Genomic DNA, 15,927 nt, shown 5'->3' on the forward strand with positions numbered 1-15,927 from the left:
GAACACCTCTAAGCCATTGATCCCTTTCCGGGAACGAAAAAGACAGCTGTGACAGTCACTCCTTTTATCGTCTCCCTCCGGCATCCAGGACTGTCTCCTTTAACCTGTTCTCTTGAGCCTACCCTCTGTTACGGGAAATTCCCAGTCTTCCATTCTAAAGGACGGTCTTCTAGGCTGCCTCATAAAAACCTGCAAACCTTAGGCCTCAGGCAAGATATCCACCCTAAGTGCTTTGTCTGTTTTTGCAATTCAGTCTGGCCACAATACGAATTGGATAATGGGTCCAAATGGCTCACAAATGGAACATTCGACTTTACAATTTTAACTGATTTACGAAATTATTGCCAACGAATGGAGAAATAGGGAGAAATTCCTTATGTCCAGGCCTTTTTGCACTCAGATCACAGCCTGACCTCTGCAATTCTTGCTCACCTGTTCTAATCATTCCCCTCCATTCTCGCTGCCCTGATCGCCTTTCTCCTCCCAACCCTACCTCTTTATCCTCCTTGGATCCAGCAGACTGCTGTCCACCCCTCCCAGCCCCTACATCTCCCTCTCAACTGTCTTCTTTAACCCCGCAAGCTTCCTCTTTATCTTCTCAGCTGCCATCTTTCCAGCCGCGGTCTTCTCAGTCAGCAGTATCCACCTCTTTTCCTACACTGCCCTCTCCTCAGGACAATTCTAGTATTGCCTGTACCCATTTTCCTCCCCTATTGCCCTCTCCTGAGGCTTGTAAACCCTTCCCACCACCTTACGCACCTATCTATCCTCCACTGCCTGTTAATTCAACCCCTTTTCCCCCATTCAAACCCTCAGCAGGAACCACTTCTAGCTTCTTCCTTCTCTCCCACTCATACTCTCTCAGGCGCCATCTTTGGTCTATGCCCCACCCTTACTTCAGCGCTGGTGCTAGAGTGCCCCCTTTAGGAAGTAGCAGGAGCTGAAGGTATTGTTAGAGTTCATGTTCCCTTCTCCCTCACTTACCTCTCAAATTAACAGAAGACTCGGTTTATTCCCAGAAGACCCTACCTCTTATATTAGGGATTTCAATACTTTACCCAGTCTTATGAACTAACCTGGCATGACCTCTACGTTATACTCTCTTCCACCCAAAACCCGGAAGACCAGGACCGTATCTGGACTCTAGCTCAGGCGCATGCTGATACAATTCATCACCAAGCTCTTGCCCGGACTACTGGTGCAGAGGCGGTCCCCAACCAGGACCCCCACTGGGATTATCAAGACGGGGCCTCAGGATGCTGCCTCGAGACCACATGATTGTGTGTCTCCTTGCAGGACTCAAAAAGGGTGCCCATAAAGCAGTAAACTATGAAAAACTTTCAGAAATCACCCAAGGTCCTGACGAAAACCCAGCCCTTTTTCTCTCTCATTTAACTGAAGTCATAAGAAAGTATACCAACCTAGACCCAGCCAGCCCAGAAGGAACCACTATCCTAAACCTTTGGTTCATCTCCCAATCCACCCCCGATATCCGGCGCAAGCTTCAGAGGCTTGACGACGGCCCTCAAACCCCACAACGAGACCTTCTTAATTTAGCCTTCAAAGTCTTTAACACTTGTGATGAGGAAAGTAAAAGGCAAAAACAGGCAGAGTTTCAAATGCTTACCTCCGCCATCAGGGGCCCTGCAGGCCCATGGGGCAGCAGCTCCCCACAGAAGCCTCCTAGCAATCCACCTTCACCTGACGCTGGATTCAAGTGTGGCAATGAAGGCCACTGGTCCAGACAATGCCCAAACCCAGGTGATCCCATCAGGCCATGCCCCCTCTGTGGAGGACCCCACTGGAAGTCAGACTGTGAGTGGCCTCCTCAAGGACTGCCCCCATCCCTTCCTGAGCCAGCCAAAACCTCCTACTCAGATCTCATTGGCCTTGCTGCTGAAGACTGATGGTGCCCTGGAACGGATGCCCCAGAAACTACCATCTCTTCATTCGAGCCAAGGGTAACTCTGATGGTGGTAGGTAGGCCAGTATGTTTTTTCATTAATACGGGGGCAAACTACTCTACTTTACCTAATTTTTTAGGACCCACCCAGTCCTCCCAAGTCTCTGTTGTGGGAATTGATGGACAAGTCTCCAAACCCCAAGCCACCCCTCCACTTTTCTGTTCCCTTCACACCTTTTCCTTCACTCACTCTTTCTTAGTCCTGCCCTCATGCCCAACTCCACTCCTAGGAAGAGACATCCTTTCAAAACTCCACACTATTCTCCACTTCCATTTTCCCCATAGTACCCTATGCATCAACCCAGACCCCTCCGGGGCATCTAACTTTCTTCTACTCCTCCAACCTCCCACCTTAAAACATGCAACTTTTCCTTATCCCCCATCCGTAGTTAATCCTGCTGTTTAGAATACTTCCACACCCTCAGTTGCAGAACACCACACCCCCGTCTGCATTAACCTTAGAGAGCCCACCTAGTTCCTATCACAGAAGCAGTATCCCATCCCCCAAGCTGCTCTCACAGACCTAAAGCCTATCATTTTTCACCTCCTTGCCAGTCACCTACTCTGCCCAACAAACTCCCCTTTTAACACACCAGTTCTACCTGTTAAAAAGCCAGATGGAACTTAATTAGTCCAGGACCTCAGGCTCATTAACCAAGCTGTATTCCCAGTATGTCAGTGGTTCCTAACCCATATACTTTCCTTTCTGCAATTCCCTCCAATACCACCCATTTTTTTGTTCTAAACCTAAAGGATGCTTTTTTTTCACAATTCCTTTACACACTGATTCCCAAAACCTCTTTGCTTTTATGTGGGAAAACCCTGACACCCACTTTTCACATTAGCTCACCTGGTGCGTACTACCTCAAGGTTTCAGAGACAGCCCCCACCTTTTTGGAAAGGCCCTTGCTCACAATCTCTGTATCTTATCCCTAGAACTGTCCACTCTCCTTCAATATGTTGATGATCTGCTTCTGTGTAGCCCCTCTCAAAGAGACTGCCACACCCATACTATCTCTCTTTTAAACTTCTTGGCAGAACAGGGGTATTGGGTATCCCCTAAGAAAGCACAAATATTCACTCCCTCAGTCACCTATCTAGGCCTAGCTCTTACCCCGCAAACCCGAGGGCTCACAACCAACCACATATCCCTCCTCCAGTCCCTCTTGCCTCCGCAAACTAAACAAGAAATTCTCTCTTTTCTAGGACTAGCAGGATATTTTAAGTTCTGGGTTCCCTCCTTTGCTCTACTTGCCAAACCATTGTACTAAGCTGCTAAAGGCCCTCTCCATGAGCCTTTAAAACCTGCACAGCCTATTACCCAACCTTTCCATCTACTCCAAAAGGCTCTCATCTCAGCGCCCATCCTCACTCTCCCAGACCTCACCAAACCTTTCTCCCTCTATACCTACAAATGGCATGGAGTTGCACTAGGTGTTCTAACCCAGTCTAAGGGTTAATTAGTCCAGGACCTCAGGCTCATTAACCAAGCTGTATTCTCAGCATGTCAGTGGTTCCTAACCCATATACTTTCCTTTCTGCAATTCCCTCCAATACCACCCATTTTTCTGTTCTAAACCTAAAGGATGCTTTTTTTCACAATTCCTTTACACCCTGATTCCCAAAACCTCTTTGCCTTTACGTGGGAAAACTCTGACACCCACCTTTCATGTTAGCTCACCTGGTGCGTACTACCTCAAGGTTTCAGAGACAGCCCCCACCCTCTGGGTTGTTGCCTACTCTCTAAACAGCTTGAAGCCACAGTTCTTGGATGGCCTACCTGCCTCTGAGCATTGGTGGCAGCCGCTGTCCTCACCCTTGAAAGCCTAAAACTATCTCTCCATGCCAACCTAACAGTTTATTCAACCCATAACATCAACGACATGCTAGCTCACCACAGTGTACTAAGTCTCATCTCTGCCCCACGGCTCCTGCAGCTGTATGCTCTATTCATAGAAACTCCCCACATCACCATGCTAACCAGCTCCTGTCTAAACCCAGCCATGCTCTTACCTGAAGCTACAACCACCCAAGACCCTACACACTTCTGTGTGAACACTGTTCAAATCTTTCTTATGCCTTTTCCAAACCTAACCTTCCAGATATCTCCTTTACTTGGTTTGTATATGGCAGCTCCATCCGACATCAAGGATGCTGACAGGCTGGCTATGCTATAGTGTCACTCCCTCACACTACTGAAGCCAATCTGCTCCTCCTAGGCACCACCTCCCAAAATGCTGAACTCACTGCCCTCACTTGTGCTCTTGCTCTAGCAGCCAGACAACAGATCAACATATATTCAAATTCTCATTATGTGTTCCACATATTGCACTCACACTCATCCATCTGGAAAGAACGGGGTTTCCTAACTGCAAAAAACACTCCTGTCGTAAATGGCTCTCTCATCAGCAAGCTCCTTCAAACTGCCAGGCTCCCACAGAAAGTTGCCATCATTCATTGCACGGGCCACCAATCCCCAGACAATCCTATATCAACTGGAAATGCACTAGCAGATCAGGTAGCCAAACAAGTAGCCCTACAACCCGTGCAAGGCCAGTTTCTGTCTCTGTCCTTGTTCTCTCCACTTTACTTCTCAGAAGAAAAGGAGGACTTCCGAGCCCAAAACCTTCAAAGGCAGGGACCATGGTATGTCAAGGAAGGGTGCTTCGTTCTTCTTCACTCTCAAATAATCTCTATCCTCCAAAGCCTCCACAACTCTTTCCATGTTGGTTACAAACCTCTCCTGCAACTTCTCTGCGCTATTCTCACTTGTGCTCACCTTTCCAGCCGTGTTCGAGAAATTACCCAGTTCTGCTCTATCTGCCACTCAGTGTCACCCCAGGGCTCCCTCTGGCTACTGCCTTTTTCCTACCCACCAAGCCTGGGGCCAGGTACCCGGGCAAGATTGGCAAGTAGATTTCACTCACATGCTGCCCGATAAACGGCTCTGCTATCTTCTAGTCTTTGTCTGTACTTTCTTCGGGTGGGTAGAAGCGTTCCCAGCAACTTCAGAAGGTGCAAATGTCCTCACACAAACCCTCGTCATGTATATAATTCCCTGTTTTGGACTCCCAACATCCATCCAGTCCAATAACGGGCCCACCTTCATCAGCCAAATTACCCAAGACATCTCTACATCCTTAGGAATAAAGTGGGTTCTCCGCACACCCTACAGGCCTCAATCTTCAGGCAAAGTTGAAAAAAATTAACTCTGTCCTTAAAGCGCAACTCACCAAGCTGACTCTAGAAACCCGCCAGTCATGGACAAAACATCTCCTTTTCGCCCTCATAAGACTCTGCGCAACACCAAAAGCACCCTCTTTTTATAGTCCCTTTAAAATCATGCATGGCTGAACTTTTGTCTTAGGGCCTCCACCCTTACCAGACTCTGAGCCACTCGGGAATTACCTCCCCTCCTTAATCCAGACATGGTCTTTCGTTCGTGAAGCAGCAAAAGAGGCCGTGCCTCTCCCTGTTGACACCTCCTTGTCCTCTCAACATAACTGTCTTGCAGGCACAGACATGTTTATCTGCCAATCCGACCCTCACCAAAAGCTACAACCGAAGTGGACAGGCCCTGACACTGTGATACTCAGCATGCCAACTGCAATGAGAGTCCAAGGACTCCCCACCTGGTAGCCCCAAGGCTACTACTTCCTCCAAAACATTAACAGCAGGCAACACCCTCGGAGTCCCTGTATATAATAACCTAAACAAAGAAAAATGATCCTTAAAGGTAGGAGGAAGCCAAAGATGGCAAGAGGATGAATGGCCTCTGCAACAGATCATCGAATATTATGGTCCTGTCACTTGGGCTGAGGATGGTTCATGGGGTTGTCACCCTTCTATATATATGCTAAATAGAATAATTAGACTACAGGCTGTTCCAGAGATAATCACTAACCAAACCACCTTAGCCCTGGAAATGCTCACACAACAACAAAACCAAATGCGTGCAGCAGTTTATCAAAACAGGCTAGCACTAGACTGCTTATTAGCAGAAGAGGGTGGGGCCTGTGGCAAGTTTAATATCTCCAATTGTTGTCTTAACATAGACAATAACGGAGAAGCAGTACTAGAAATCGCTTCAAACATCAGAAAAGTAGCCCATATACCAGTCCAAACCTGGAAGGGATGGGACCCAACAAACCTTCTAGGATGGTGGTTTTTTAATTTAGGAGAATTTAAAACGCTGGTAGGGACGGTAATCTTCATCATTGGGTTCCTCCTGTTTCTCCCCTATATTATTCCACTAATAATAAAAGCCATTAAAACTCTTGTTGAAACTACAGTTAGCTGCCAGACAATCCAGACGATGCTCCTGCTACAATGACACCATGGATACCAACCCATCTCTCAAGAATATCCCCCAAAATTAAGGTTTTCTTTTTCCAAGGTGCCACCCCCTATGTCGGGCCTGAAGTAGTTATTGAGAAAGTCGCCCCTTTTCCCTTTTTTCTATAACCAAATAGACAGGAATGGAAGATTCTCCCCAGGGCCTGAAAGCTTGAAGGGATGAGTAACTCCTCCCTTCTCAGGCCCAGTCCCAAGGTGCAATGCTACTTGTGCCAGCAGTGTGTGCCAGCAAGATAGCAGAAGCAGGAAGAGAGCCGGCCGGAAGACACCTACCCTGGCCGGAAGACAAGTATCCCTGAAGATCGAGAAAGCCGGAAGCCACCTACCCTGGCCAGAAGACACGTATCCCTGAAGATTGAGACAGAGGCCGTCTGGGTACTATGTAGCAGTCACGTCAGACTGGGACATTTCCTGTTTACAGGAGACCATAAAATCCGTGCCCTGTCCTCATTTGGTGCTGACGCCATTTTAGGCCTCAGCCTGTCTGCACCCAGGCGCTCATTAAAACAGCATGTTGCTCCACACCCCTCATGTTTTCTGTTGGCGTGCTCTCGGGGTTTGAACCAGTACAAGAACCTTACAAACACTATGGAGATTTCTCTAATAAATGAAAAACAGTATTACCAATCAATTCAGCAATCTCACTACTGGGTATATATTCAAAGAGAAAGAAATCATTATATCAAAAACATACCTGCATTCATGTGTTTATCACAGCACTATTCACAATAGCAAAGATACAGAATCAACCTTGGTGTCTATCAATGAAGGATTGGGTAAAGAAGATGTGATACGTATTTATACCATTTATACTACTCAGCCATAGAAAAGAATGAAATCATATATTTTGCAGCTACATGGAGAGAAATGCAGGCCATTATCCTAAGTGAAATAACTCAGAAAGAGAAAGTCAAATACCTCACGTTCTTACTTATAAGTGGGAACTAAACAATGGGTAGGCATGCACATACAGAGTGAAGTAATAGACACTGGAAACTACAAATAGGGTGAGATGGGAGTGAGAGTTGAAAAACTACTTATTGGGTACAATGTTCACTCTTTGGTCAATGGGTACACTAAAAGCCCAGACTTCACCACTATGCAGTATATGCATGTAGGAAAGCTGCACTTGTACTCCCTAAATATATAAAAATAAAAAATAAAATAAAATGTATTAGTAAACATCAATGAAAATTTTAAAATAGAAAAACAAATACAAAATAATAACAATTTACTTGTAACTTCTGCTTATCAGGCCACTTGAATCTTTGCTTCTTGGTTGTAAATCTCAAACATGGCCCAAATAAATTCTAATTTTTTAAGTTTGCTTCAGTTTTTTCCTTTAGGTCAACAGGTAGCAAGCAGCTAAGGATACCACTCCAATGAAATTAGCTCTTTATGAGTATAATTAGAGCATGGGAATGAGGATAACAACAAAAGAAAGCCTAATGATGCAAAAGAGAGGATTATTGATAGGAGTGATTTAATGATTATATGTTGGAGATGCTGGATAGGTGTGCTGGTCAAGTTACTTAGAAGGCTCATGCTAATTTTCAGGTATACTAAAACCCCAAGTACATCCTATGGTTGAGTTTTTCTAAATTTTTGCTTTGTGAATGTTTATGCCTTTGTCAATTTTATACGCTGAAATTATGATAAAAATCTTAATTTTAATGGAGGTACTGCAGTGTATTTGTATAATCTTTTACATTTATATAAAATAAACTATATATTCAAATACATATATACACACATACATACTTATGTGGGATTTAAAGTGGTATGAGATTTTAAAAATGCATTGCACACTGGCAAATGTATATATTAAATTTTGGCCCTAGTTTTACAAGGTACTGTATTTTTTTCAATAAATAGCCTTAATTAAATTTAATCTGCCAATTTGTATATAGGAAAATTGTATAATATATTCATATTAAACAGAATTAGTTGATTATATTAAATAATCATAAATGTAGATAGAAACATGTAGATGCATTGTTATACGTTAAGTACTTTTCCAGAATGTTCACATTTACTTTACAGTTCACACTGTTGCAGTTATAGTTAATGAAGTAATAAAATGATATGTAAATTGCTTCACCTTTTCACCTACTTATATGGGAAAAAAATTGCTTGAGTAATAACATTTAGGAAAGATATCTAGAAGCACTGCAAGTAACTTGTACTTGTATTTGTGTTTTTCCTTATTTGTCTCTTTTATCTCATTCCCATGTGAGATGAATGAAAGGATTTCCCTGAAACGAGCAGGTATACAGGAGAGCATAAAGGGCTTATGCAACTAAATGCTTCACCCCTTGACCTTTCATTTTCATCATTAAAGACTTATTCCTTTGGGTCTCAAAGATTTCAACTACAAGGGAAACTTATTGAAATGCAAATATTCCTGGGAGAAATAACATCTTAAAATGTAATCTGCTGATTTTTTAAGCAATTAGTTAACTGCAGGTGAGAGAAGAAGAGAAGCGAAGAATAGGCTTTAGAGGTAGAAGGTGAGAACAATGGACAGGAGAAAAGAATGTTAGAGGCACCAAATGTAAAATATACCCAAATTTTATTTAAAGTCAATCAACTCATTTAAAAAGTTTTAGATTTTTCCTTATATGTGAAAACTGCAGACTACAAAGGCTAGCATATAATTGTGTGTATGTCCACAACCTGGTATTCTCATTATGAAATACTTGCTATTCAAACGAATAGTAAAAGGGTTTTCTTATTATGAAAACTTTCAGATTCTAAAAGTGTTAATTTCTTGAGAATTTTTTTGGTAACCTGTGTCTTTTATACTCTGTACCCTGGCTTAGAATTTCTTCAGCCTAAAATATAACTGAACATCCAGCTTTGAGGACAAAGCACAAAAAAGGAGAGCTTCAGGGAACTGTAAAGTGCAGCAGAGATCATGGAGTAGAAGGAGCTCGGGAAAGAAACTTCACAAATTTGTTTATGATCCCCTGAGCTCACTCTTGAGAAGTACATGGGATGACTGGACCTAAAAAGCATGCCAAAGGCTTTGAGAACTGATCTCATGGAGAGAGTATTGTTAGTCCCAGACAGGCAACTGAGTGGTATTTACACAGGATAGTTTTTAATAGCATTACAATGACGTTAAAACTGAACTGATATTAAAATCACAGCACACGCTTGAAGGATCTGAACATAATCTTGTTAATTGCCAACCCAAACGAAAATGCCAACATTTCCCCTACTTAACAAGATTTAAACAAGATGCAAGGTCTTAAACAAAATACTGAAAATGTCAGCTGGGCGCGGTGGCTCATGCCTGTAATCCCAGCACCTTGGGAGGCCGAGACGGGTGGATCACGATGTCAGGAGATCAAGACCATCCTGGCTAACATGGTGAAACCCTGTCTCTACTAAAAAATACAAAAAATTAGCCAGGCATGGTGGCGGGTGCCTGTAGTCCCAGCTACTCGGGAGGCTGAGGCAGGAGAATGGCGGGAACCCGGGAGGCAGAACTTGCAGTGAGCCGAGATTGCGCCACTCACTCCAGCCTGGGGGACAGAGTGGGACTCCATCTTAAAAAAAAAAAGAAAAAAAAAAGAAAATGTCTAAGATAGAATACAAAGTTAGTGAGCATTTGAAGAATCAGGAATATCTTAGCTCACAACAAAAAAGACTATAAACAGATGCCAACTCTAACACAAAACAGATATTGAAATTACTTGACAAAAGATGTAAAGGACCTATTATCAAAATGTTGCAGCAAATAATAGTGAGCACTCTTGAAATAAGTGGATAGGTAGAAAGTCTCAACAGATAAATAGAAGATATAAAGAAAAACTCAATGAAAAATTTAGATCTAAAATATAACTGAAAATTAAAAGCTCAACAGCAGAATGGAAATAACAGTGGGGCTAGTGAATTTGAAGATAGATTAATAAATATTACCTATATTTCTAAGTAATTCAAGGTCAAAAAGTCTCAAGAAAAAAATTTGGACTAAGTGAAAATGAAAATACGATATATTAAAACTTGTTGGATGCAGCCAAATCAGTGTTTAGGGGGAAATTTATAGCATTCAGTACTTAATCCTAAAACAAAATCTCAAATCAGTAGTATAGATTTCCACATTAAGAAACTGGAAAGAAGACAAACAACAACAACAAAATAAAACCAATTTAGCAAAAGGAAGCAGATAATAAAGAATAGAAATACAATTTAAATCAGTAAAAATATAGAAAGTAAAAATATAGTCATTGGAAAGTCAATAAAATTGATACAACTTCATCAAAACTGCAGAATAATAAAAAAGGAGAAGATACAAATGACAACATCAGAAATAAAAGAGGTCAATGGCCAGTTGCAGTGGCTCACACCTGTAATCCCAGCACTTTGGGAGGCCAAGGCTGGAGGACCCCTTGATCCCAGGAGTTTGAGACCACCCCCAGCAATATCATGAGACCCAGTCTCCACAAAAAAAAAAAAAAAAAAAAAAAGGGCCGGGTGTGGTGGCTCACTCCTGTAATCCCAGCACTTTGGGAGGCTGAGGCAGGAGGATCACAAGGTCAGGCGATGGAGATCATCCTGGCTAACATGGTGAAACCCCGTCTCTACTAAAAATACAAAAATTTAGCCGGGCGTGGTGGCGGACGCCTGTAGTCCCAGCTACTCCGGAGGCTGAGGCAGGAGAATGGTATGAACCCGAGAGGCGGAGCTTGCCGTGAGCCCAGATCGCGCCACTGCACTCTAGCTTGGACAGAAAGAGACTTTGTCTCAAAAAAAAATAATAATAAAATAAAATTATCTGGGCATGATGATGCACGACTGTAGTCCCAGCTGCTTAGGAGACTGAGGTGGGAGGATCACTTGAGCCCAAGAGGTTAAGGCTGCAGTGAGCCATGATTGCACCACTGCATTCTAGCCTGGGAAACAGAGTGAGACCCCATCTCAAAAAGAAAACAAACAAACAAACATACAAACAAAAAGCGAAAAAGAAAAGAAGTAAAAGAGGGAATATCACCACCTACCCCCAGCACATTAAAGAATATTGAGGGAATATTCCAAACAACTTATGCATATAAATTTGCATGAAATGGACTAATTCTTCACAAGTCAAAACCTGCTAACATCATCCAAGGTGAAACAGACAGTACAAAAGGTACTGTAATTACTACAACAATTGAATTAATGATTAAAAACCTTTCAAAAAAGAAAACTCCAGGCCAAATCGAGACCATCCTGGCTAACACAGTGAAACGCCGTCTCTACTAAAAATAGAAAAAATTAGCCAGGCGGGTGGCGGGCGCTGGCTCGGGAGGCTGAGCCGGGAGAATGGCGCGAACCCGGGGGGCGGAGCTTGCAGTGAGCCTTGATTGCACCACTGCACTCCAGCCTGGGTGACAGAGCCAGACTCCATCAAGAAGAAAGAAAGAGAGAGAGAGAGAGAGGGAGGGAGGGAGGGAGGGAGAGAGAGAGAGAGACCAATACAGTGAGTCACACACAAGTTTGAAATTTATTTCTCTCTTACTTGCCTGCAGAACATGTAAGCATTTTCTCTCCATGTCATCCAGGGACCCAGGTTCTCTTTTTCTTCTTGTTCTATGATTCTCTAGGATTTTGGAATGGCCATTTTCTGCTGGTAAGGTTTTGGAGAATAAGGATTTGCTTTAGGACTTATTTAAAGGTAAACAAACAAACAAACAAAACAAAACACCACACACACACACACACACAGGTTTTGGTAGGCCAGGCTGTGCTGCTTTTGAAAGTGCAATCGCTTCAGAACCTCTTTGCTTCTAGTAAATTTCATATTAGTGCCCCAAACCAAAGATTCAATCTAGACAGATTTTTAAGCCTTTCAACTCACATTTATTAAATGAACTCCACAAAATCAGCTCAGCTCATTTCCCTGTCTCATTTTAAATGCAGCTACTGGATCACACACACACACACACACACACACACACACACACACACACACACACGAATTAAAAAAAAAAAAACCTTAAATAAGAAGGCAATAGTCTTAATCTGATTTTTGAAACTGTGCTACCTCGAACTGTTTGGTTTAAAGTGACAATTGTCTCCTGTTAAGGCAGTTGGCTTTTCCAACCCAATAAGGCCTCAAGCTATTAGACTCTGAGTCAATTAGACAACAGACTCAGGCAGAGAAAGCCTTCCTTGGCACAACTGTTATCTCTTCTATCTCTGCTAGTCAGCTAGCTAATGCCTGCCTGACTTCAACCCTCTCCACTACAACGGTCAAGGTACCTCTGGGTGGTTATTAATTAAGCATATGTTTAATTAATGTTCTTGTCAAACATGCTGTACCCCATACAAGTGAATAGGGCTGGAAAGTTGACTTTTGGCTTTTTCGTTTCCTTTGCTCTGACTGCTTAACATTCTGCTCAATCATCAACTACCCCTACACTGAAAATTCAGAATATAATGTTATAATTCTATCCCTTTTTCTATACCCTCCTCAATTTGTTTTTTAACCAAGCTTTTCACCATTTTCTCTCTTTTTAAAAATTTCCCTCATGTGTTCTCTAAGAAAGATTTTGTGATCCTAAGGCTTGTGAGCTCACAATTAGAATTAAGATTAACCTTGCTGTTTTTGGATCATGATATACTCTTCTCAGCCATTAGCCCTGAACCTCTTAGTGTTAAACTCTGATGACTCTAATGTTGCATATACTTAAAATATGTTTAGCTCTGGAGAGGTCTTCTAGAGCTCCCCATAAGCTATCACTAGGCTTAAGAGGGAGATTCATTTCATAAGGAATGATGCTGCCTACAATTTAGGAGGCCCTGATAAATATCTGCTGACTACATAATGGGAGCTACATATGTATTTATGAGATTGATTAACTATTATTTTATTTTCCTGACTTTAATGAGGGCTTGTTGGTACAAGGCCTCATTCTATCAATAAGTAGTTTAAATGCTTTGACGTATTTAACCTTCAAAACAATCAAACAAACTAGGTGTTATCATTTTCCCCATTTTCCTAATGAAGCGGAGAGAGATTAAGTAATTAACCTCAGGTCACAAGTGGCAGAGCTGGGATTCAATCCAACAATCTGGCTCCAGAGTCCGTACAGTTAACCATGACATTCACCCAAATAACTCTACAAACACAAAATCTATATTCTTTAAGAAAAAAAAAAAGACAATTCTGTTATAATATATTTTCCAGAGTATTCTACCATATCAGGCAAATAATTCAACATTTATTCTATAGTGTGGCATTTGTTAAATAACTAGTCTCACAACAGACTATTAAATGTATGCATTTGTATTGAGGGAAAATTAAAGAACTGATTTGTGTAGGGAATTTTTATTCCTTTTGGAAAATCCTTTGTTAAAAGATCTCTAAGTGATTAATTTTTTAAATTTGCATAACACAGATTCACAAAATAAATTGGGTTAATTTTCAGGTGTGAAAACCCTCTGGGAATTGGTGGTTTTTCTTGATGTAGCAAATATCTTGATCACAGAGACTAACATTTCAAATAACATCCCTGCTTTCACAATCATGGGGCCTTATTTTATAAAGCCAATAGGATGTAATTACATTAGAGGTGTTATTTTTAAAAATACCAACAAAATTAATTTATGCTTCAGAGGGCTATGGGGAATTTCACATTTGTGTGTAGCCACACACAGAACTTTAAACAGTAATATGAAACCATTCTAAAAGTTGGATAGTACCAAAACCTTACAAAATGATAATAAGAACTAGTTTTGTCACATATTTTAAGCAACCAACAAAGAAAGCATTCCACCTTTGTCTTTGTAATCCAGCCTTTACAGCTTTTTACTAGATACTGTATAAGCCCTTATGGAATGAATTTTAAATCCTGCATTAGTTTTTTATTGCTGTGGTAACAAATTACCACACATTTGGTGGCTTAAAACAACACAAACTTATTATCTTAGAGATTTAGGGGTCAAAGTTTAAAATCAGACTGACTTGGGCAGGACTGGTTGGCAGGTCTGGTTTTTTCCAGAGGTTTTAGGGAGAATTCGTTCTTTGCTTCTTCCAGCTTCTGCAGGCTACCAGCATTCTTTGATTCATGGCTACATCATTCCACCCTCTGCTTCCATCATTGACTTTTCTTACTTGGAGCCTCTTGCCTCCCTGCTATGTGGACCCTTTTGATTATGCTGAGCACACTAAGATAATCCAGAATAACCTCCTCATCTCAAGATCCTTAATTTAATCACATCAACAAAATTTATTCAGCCATATAAAGTAAGATATTCACACACTCTAGAGATTAGAGTGTTGACACCTTTGCCAGATCATTATTTTGTCTACCACAAAAAATGCTAACCTATTTTTTGTATTTTATTATATGCTACCCTCATTTTATCTAATCCTTCATTTTCACCTGTTGAATAGTACTACTGTCAGTAACATAAAAACAACATTTTTGAAATATAAATTAATTAGTTAAAGCAGTCCATCTATTTGTGCATCATTATTATGGTCTGGTAAGTTTACTGGGTGTCGTCCACTTTACTGTCTTGTCATCCTTGAAACTATTTTCTACAGCCAAGAGTTGGATTAATTGACTCTATAATTTTAAAAATAGTATAAAACACTTACCTTTAATTGTTTTGCATTCATCTCTTTCACTCTCTCTTTTTTTGTTTTAGGATATGGAGTCTCCCTCTGTCCTCCAGGCTGGAGTGCAGTTTTGCAGTCATAACTCACTGCAGCCTTGAACTCCTGGTCTTAAGAGCTCCCCTTGCCTGAGGCCTCCTCAGTAGCAGGGACTACAGGAATTAGCCACTGTGCCCACCTAATTAAATTTTTTAATTTTATGATTATTAGTATTAGTATTAGTGTTTTTGTAGAGATAGGGTCTCTCTATGTTGCTCAGGCTGTTCTCAAACTCCTGGACTCTAGACATTCCCCTGTCTCAGCCTCCAAAGTAGCTGGGATTATAGGTGCGGGCACTGCCCCGGCTCATCTCTTCTTTTCTAGAGACCTTATGTTTATATATTTAGTTAATTTTAACAAGACTTCTTAGTTAATATTTTGATTTTAAGTGCATATAAGAAAGCAATGTCTTTAAAAGCTGCCAGAGAGAAAGTATAACATAGACTTCAGAGCTAAATAAAAAGTAGGTTTTAAAAGATGTCAATAAATACATTTCCAAATGACAGAATGGTTTGAGGCTGTGGGATGATAACAAATCCGGGTTGAATAACAAATGGCAGAGACGTTGTGTGATGCTCATATCAGGGGTGAGTGTGACTCTAGGTTCATGTCATTTATATGTCCATTAATGAAATTTTAAGACCTTTTTAAATTCCCACGAAACTACAAAGAAAAAGAACAAGTAGTTTTGTTATTTTACAGTGGATCATCCTATGGTAACAATTAATGCTTCATAAAGAGACACTGTGGTACAGATGAGGAGCAGGATCTTGTTTATTGCCTTGTCAAGGAACAAATCTTTACAAAAATAAAGGAATTGGCTGTTCTTACAATCTTCGGCTGCTGTAGGTATTTTGATTTGTTTTGGGAGGTGGTGATGGTGTGAATTTTAAGAGATCTTTCTGAGAAGAATAAAAGGATGTGACTATAATTACCAAGCGAGTGGAAGAAAAAGGAT

At 41.3% G+C, this 15,927-nt stretch overlaps 1 annotated feature.

The window, feature by feature from the left end:
- Positions 11,611-12,111: an enhancer, noted in NCBI's record as "H3K4me1 hESC enhancer chr3:173004473-173004973 (GRCh37/hg19 assembly coordinates)". NCBI's record gives its function as "activates a minimal SCP1, AML or CMV promoter by ChIP-STARR-seq in primed H9 embryonic stem cells {active_cell/tissue: H9 hESC(primed)}" and the evidence as "EXISTENCE:reporter gene assay evidence [ECO:0000049][PMID:30033119]".

This window comes from Homo sapiens, chromosome 3 (assembly GCF_000001405.40).
Source record: "Homo sapiens chromosome 3, GRCh38.p14 Primary Assembly".
Lineage (NCBI taxonomy): Eukaryota > Metazoa > Chordata > Mammalia > Primates > Hominidae > Homo > Homo sapiens.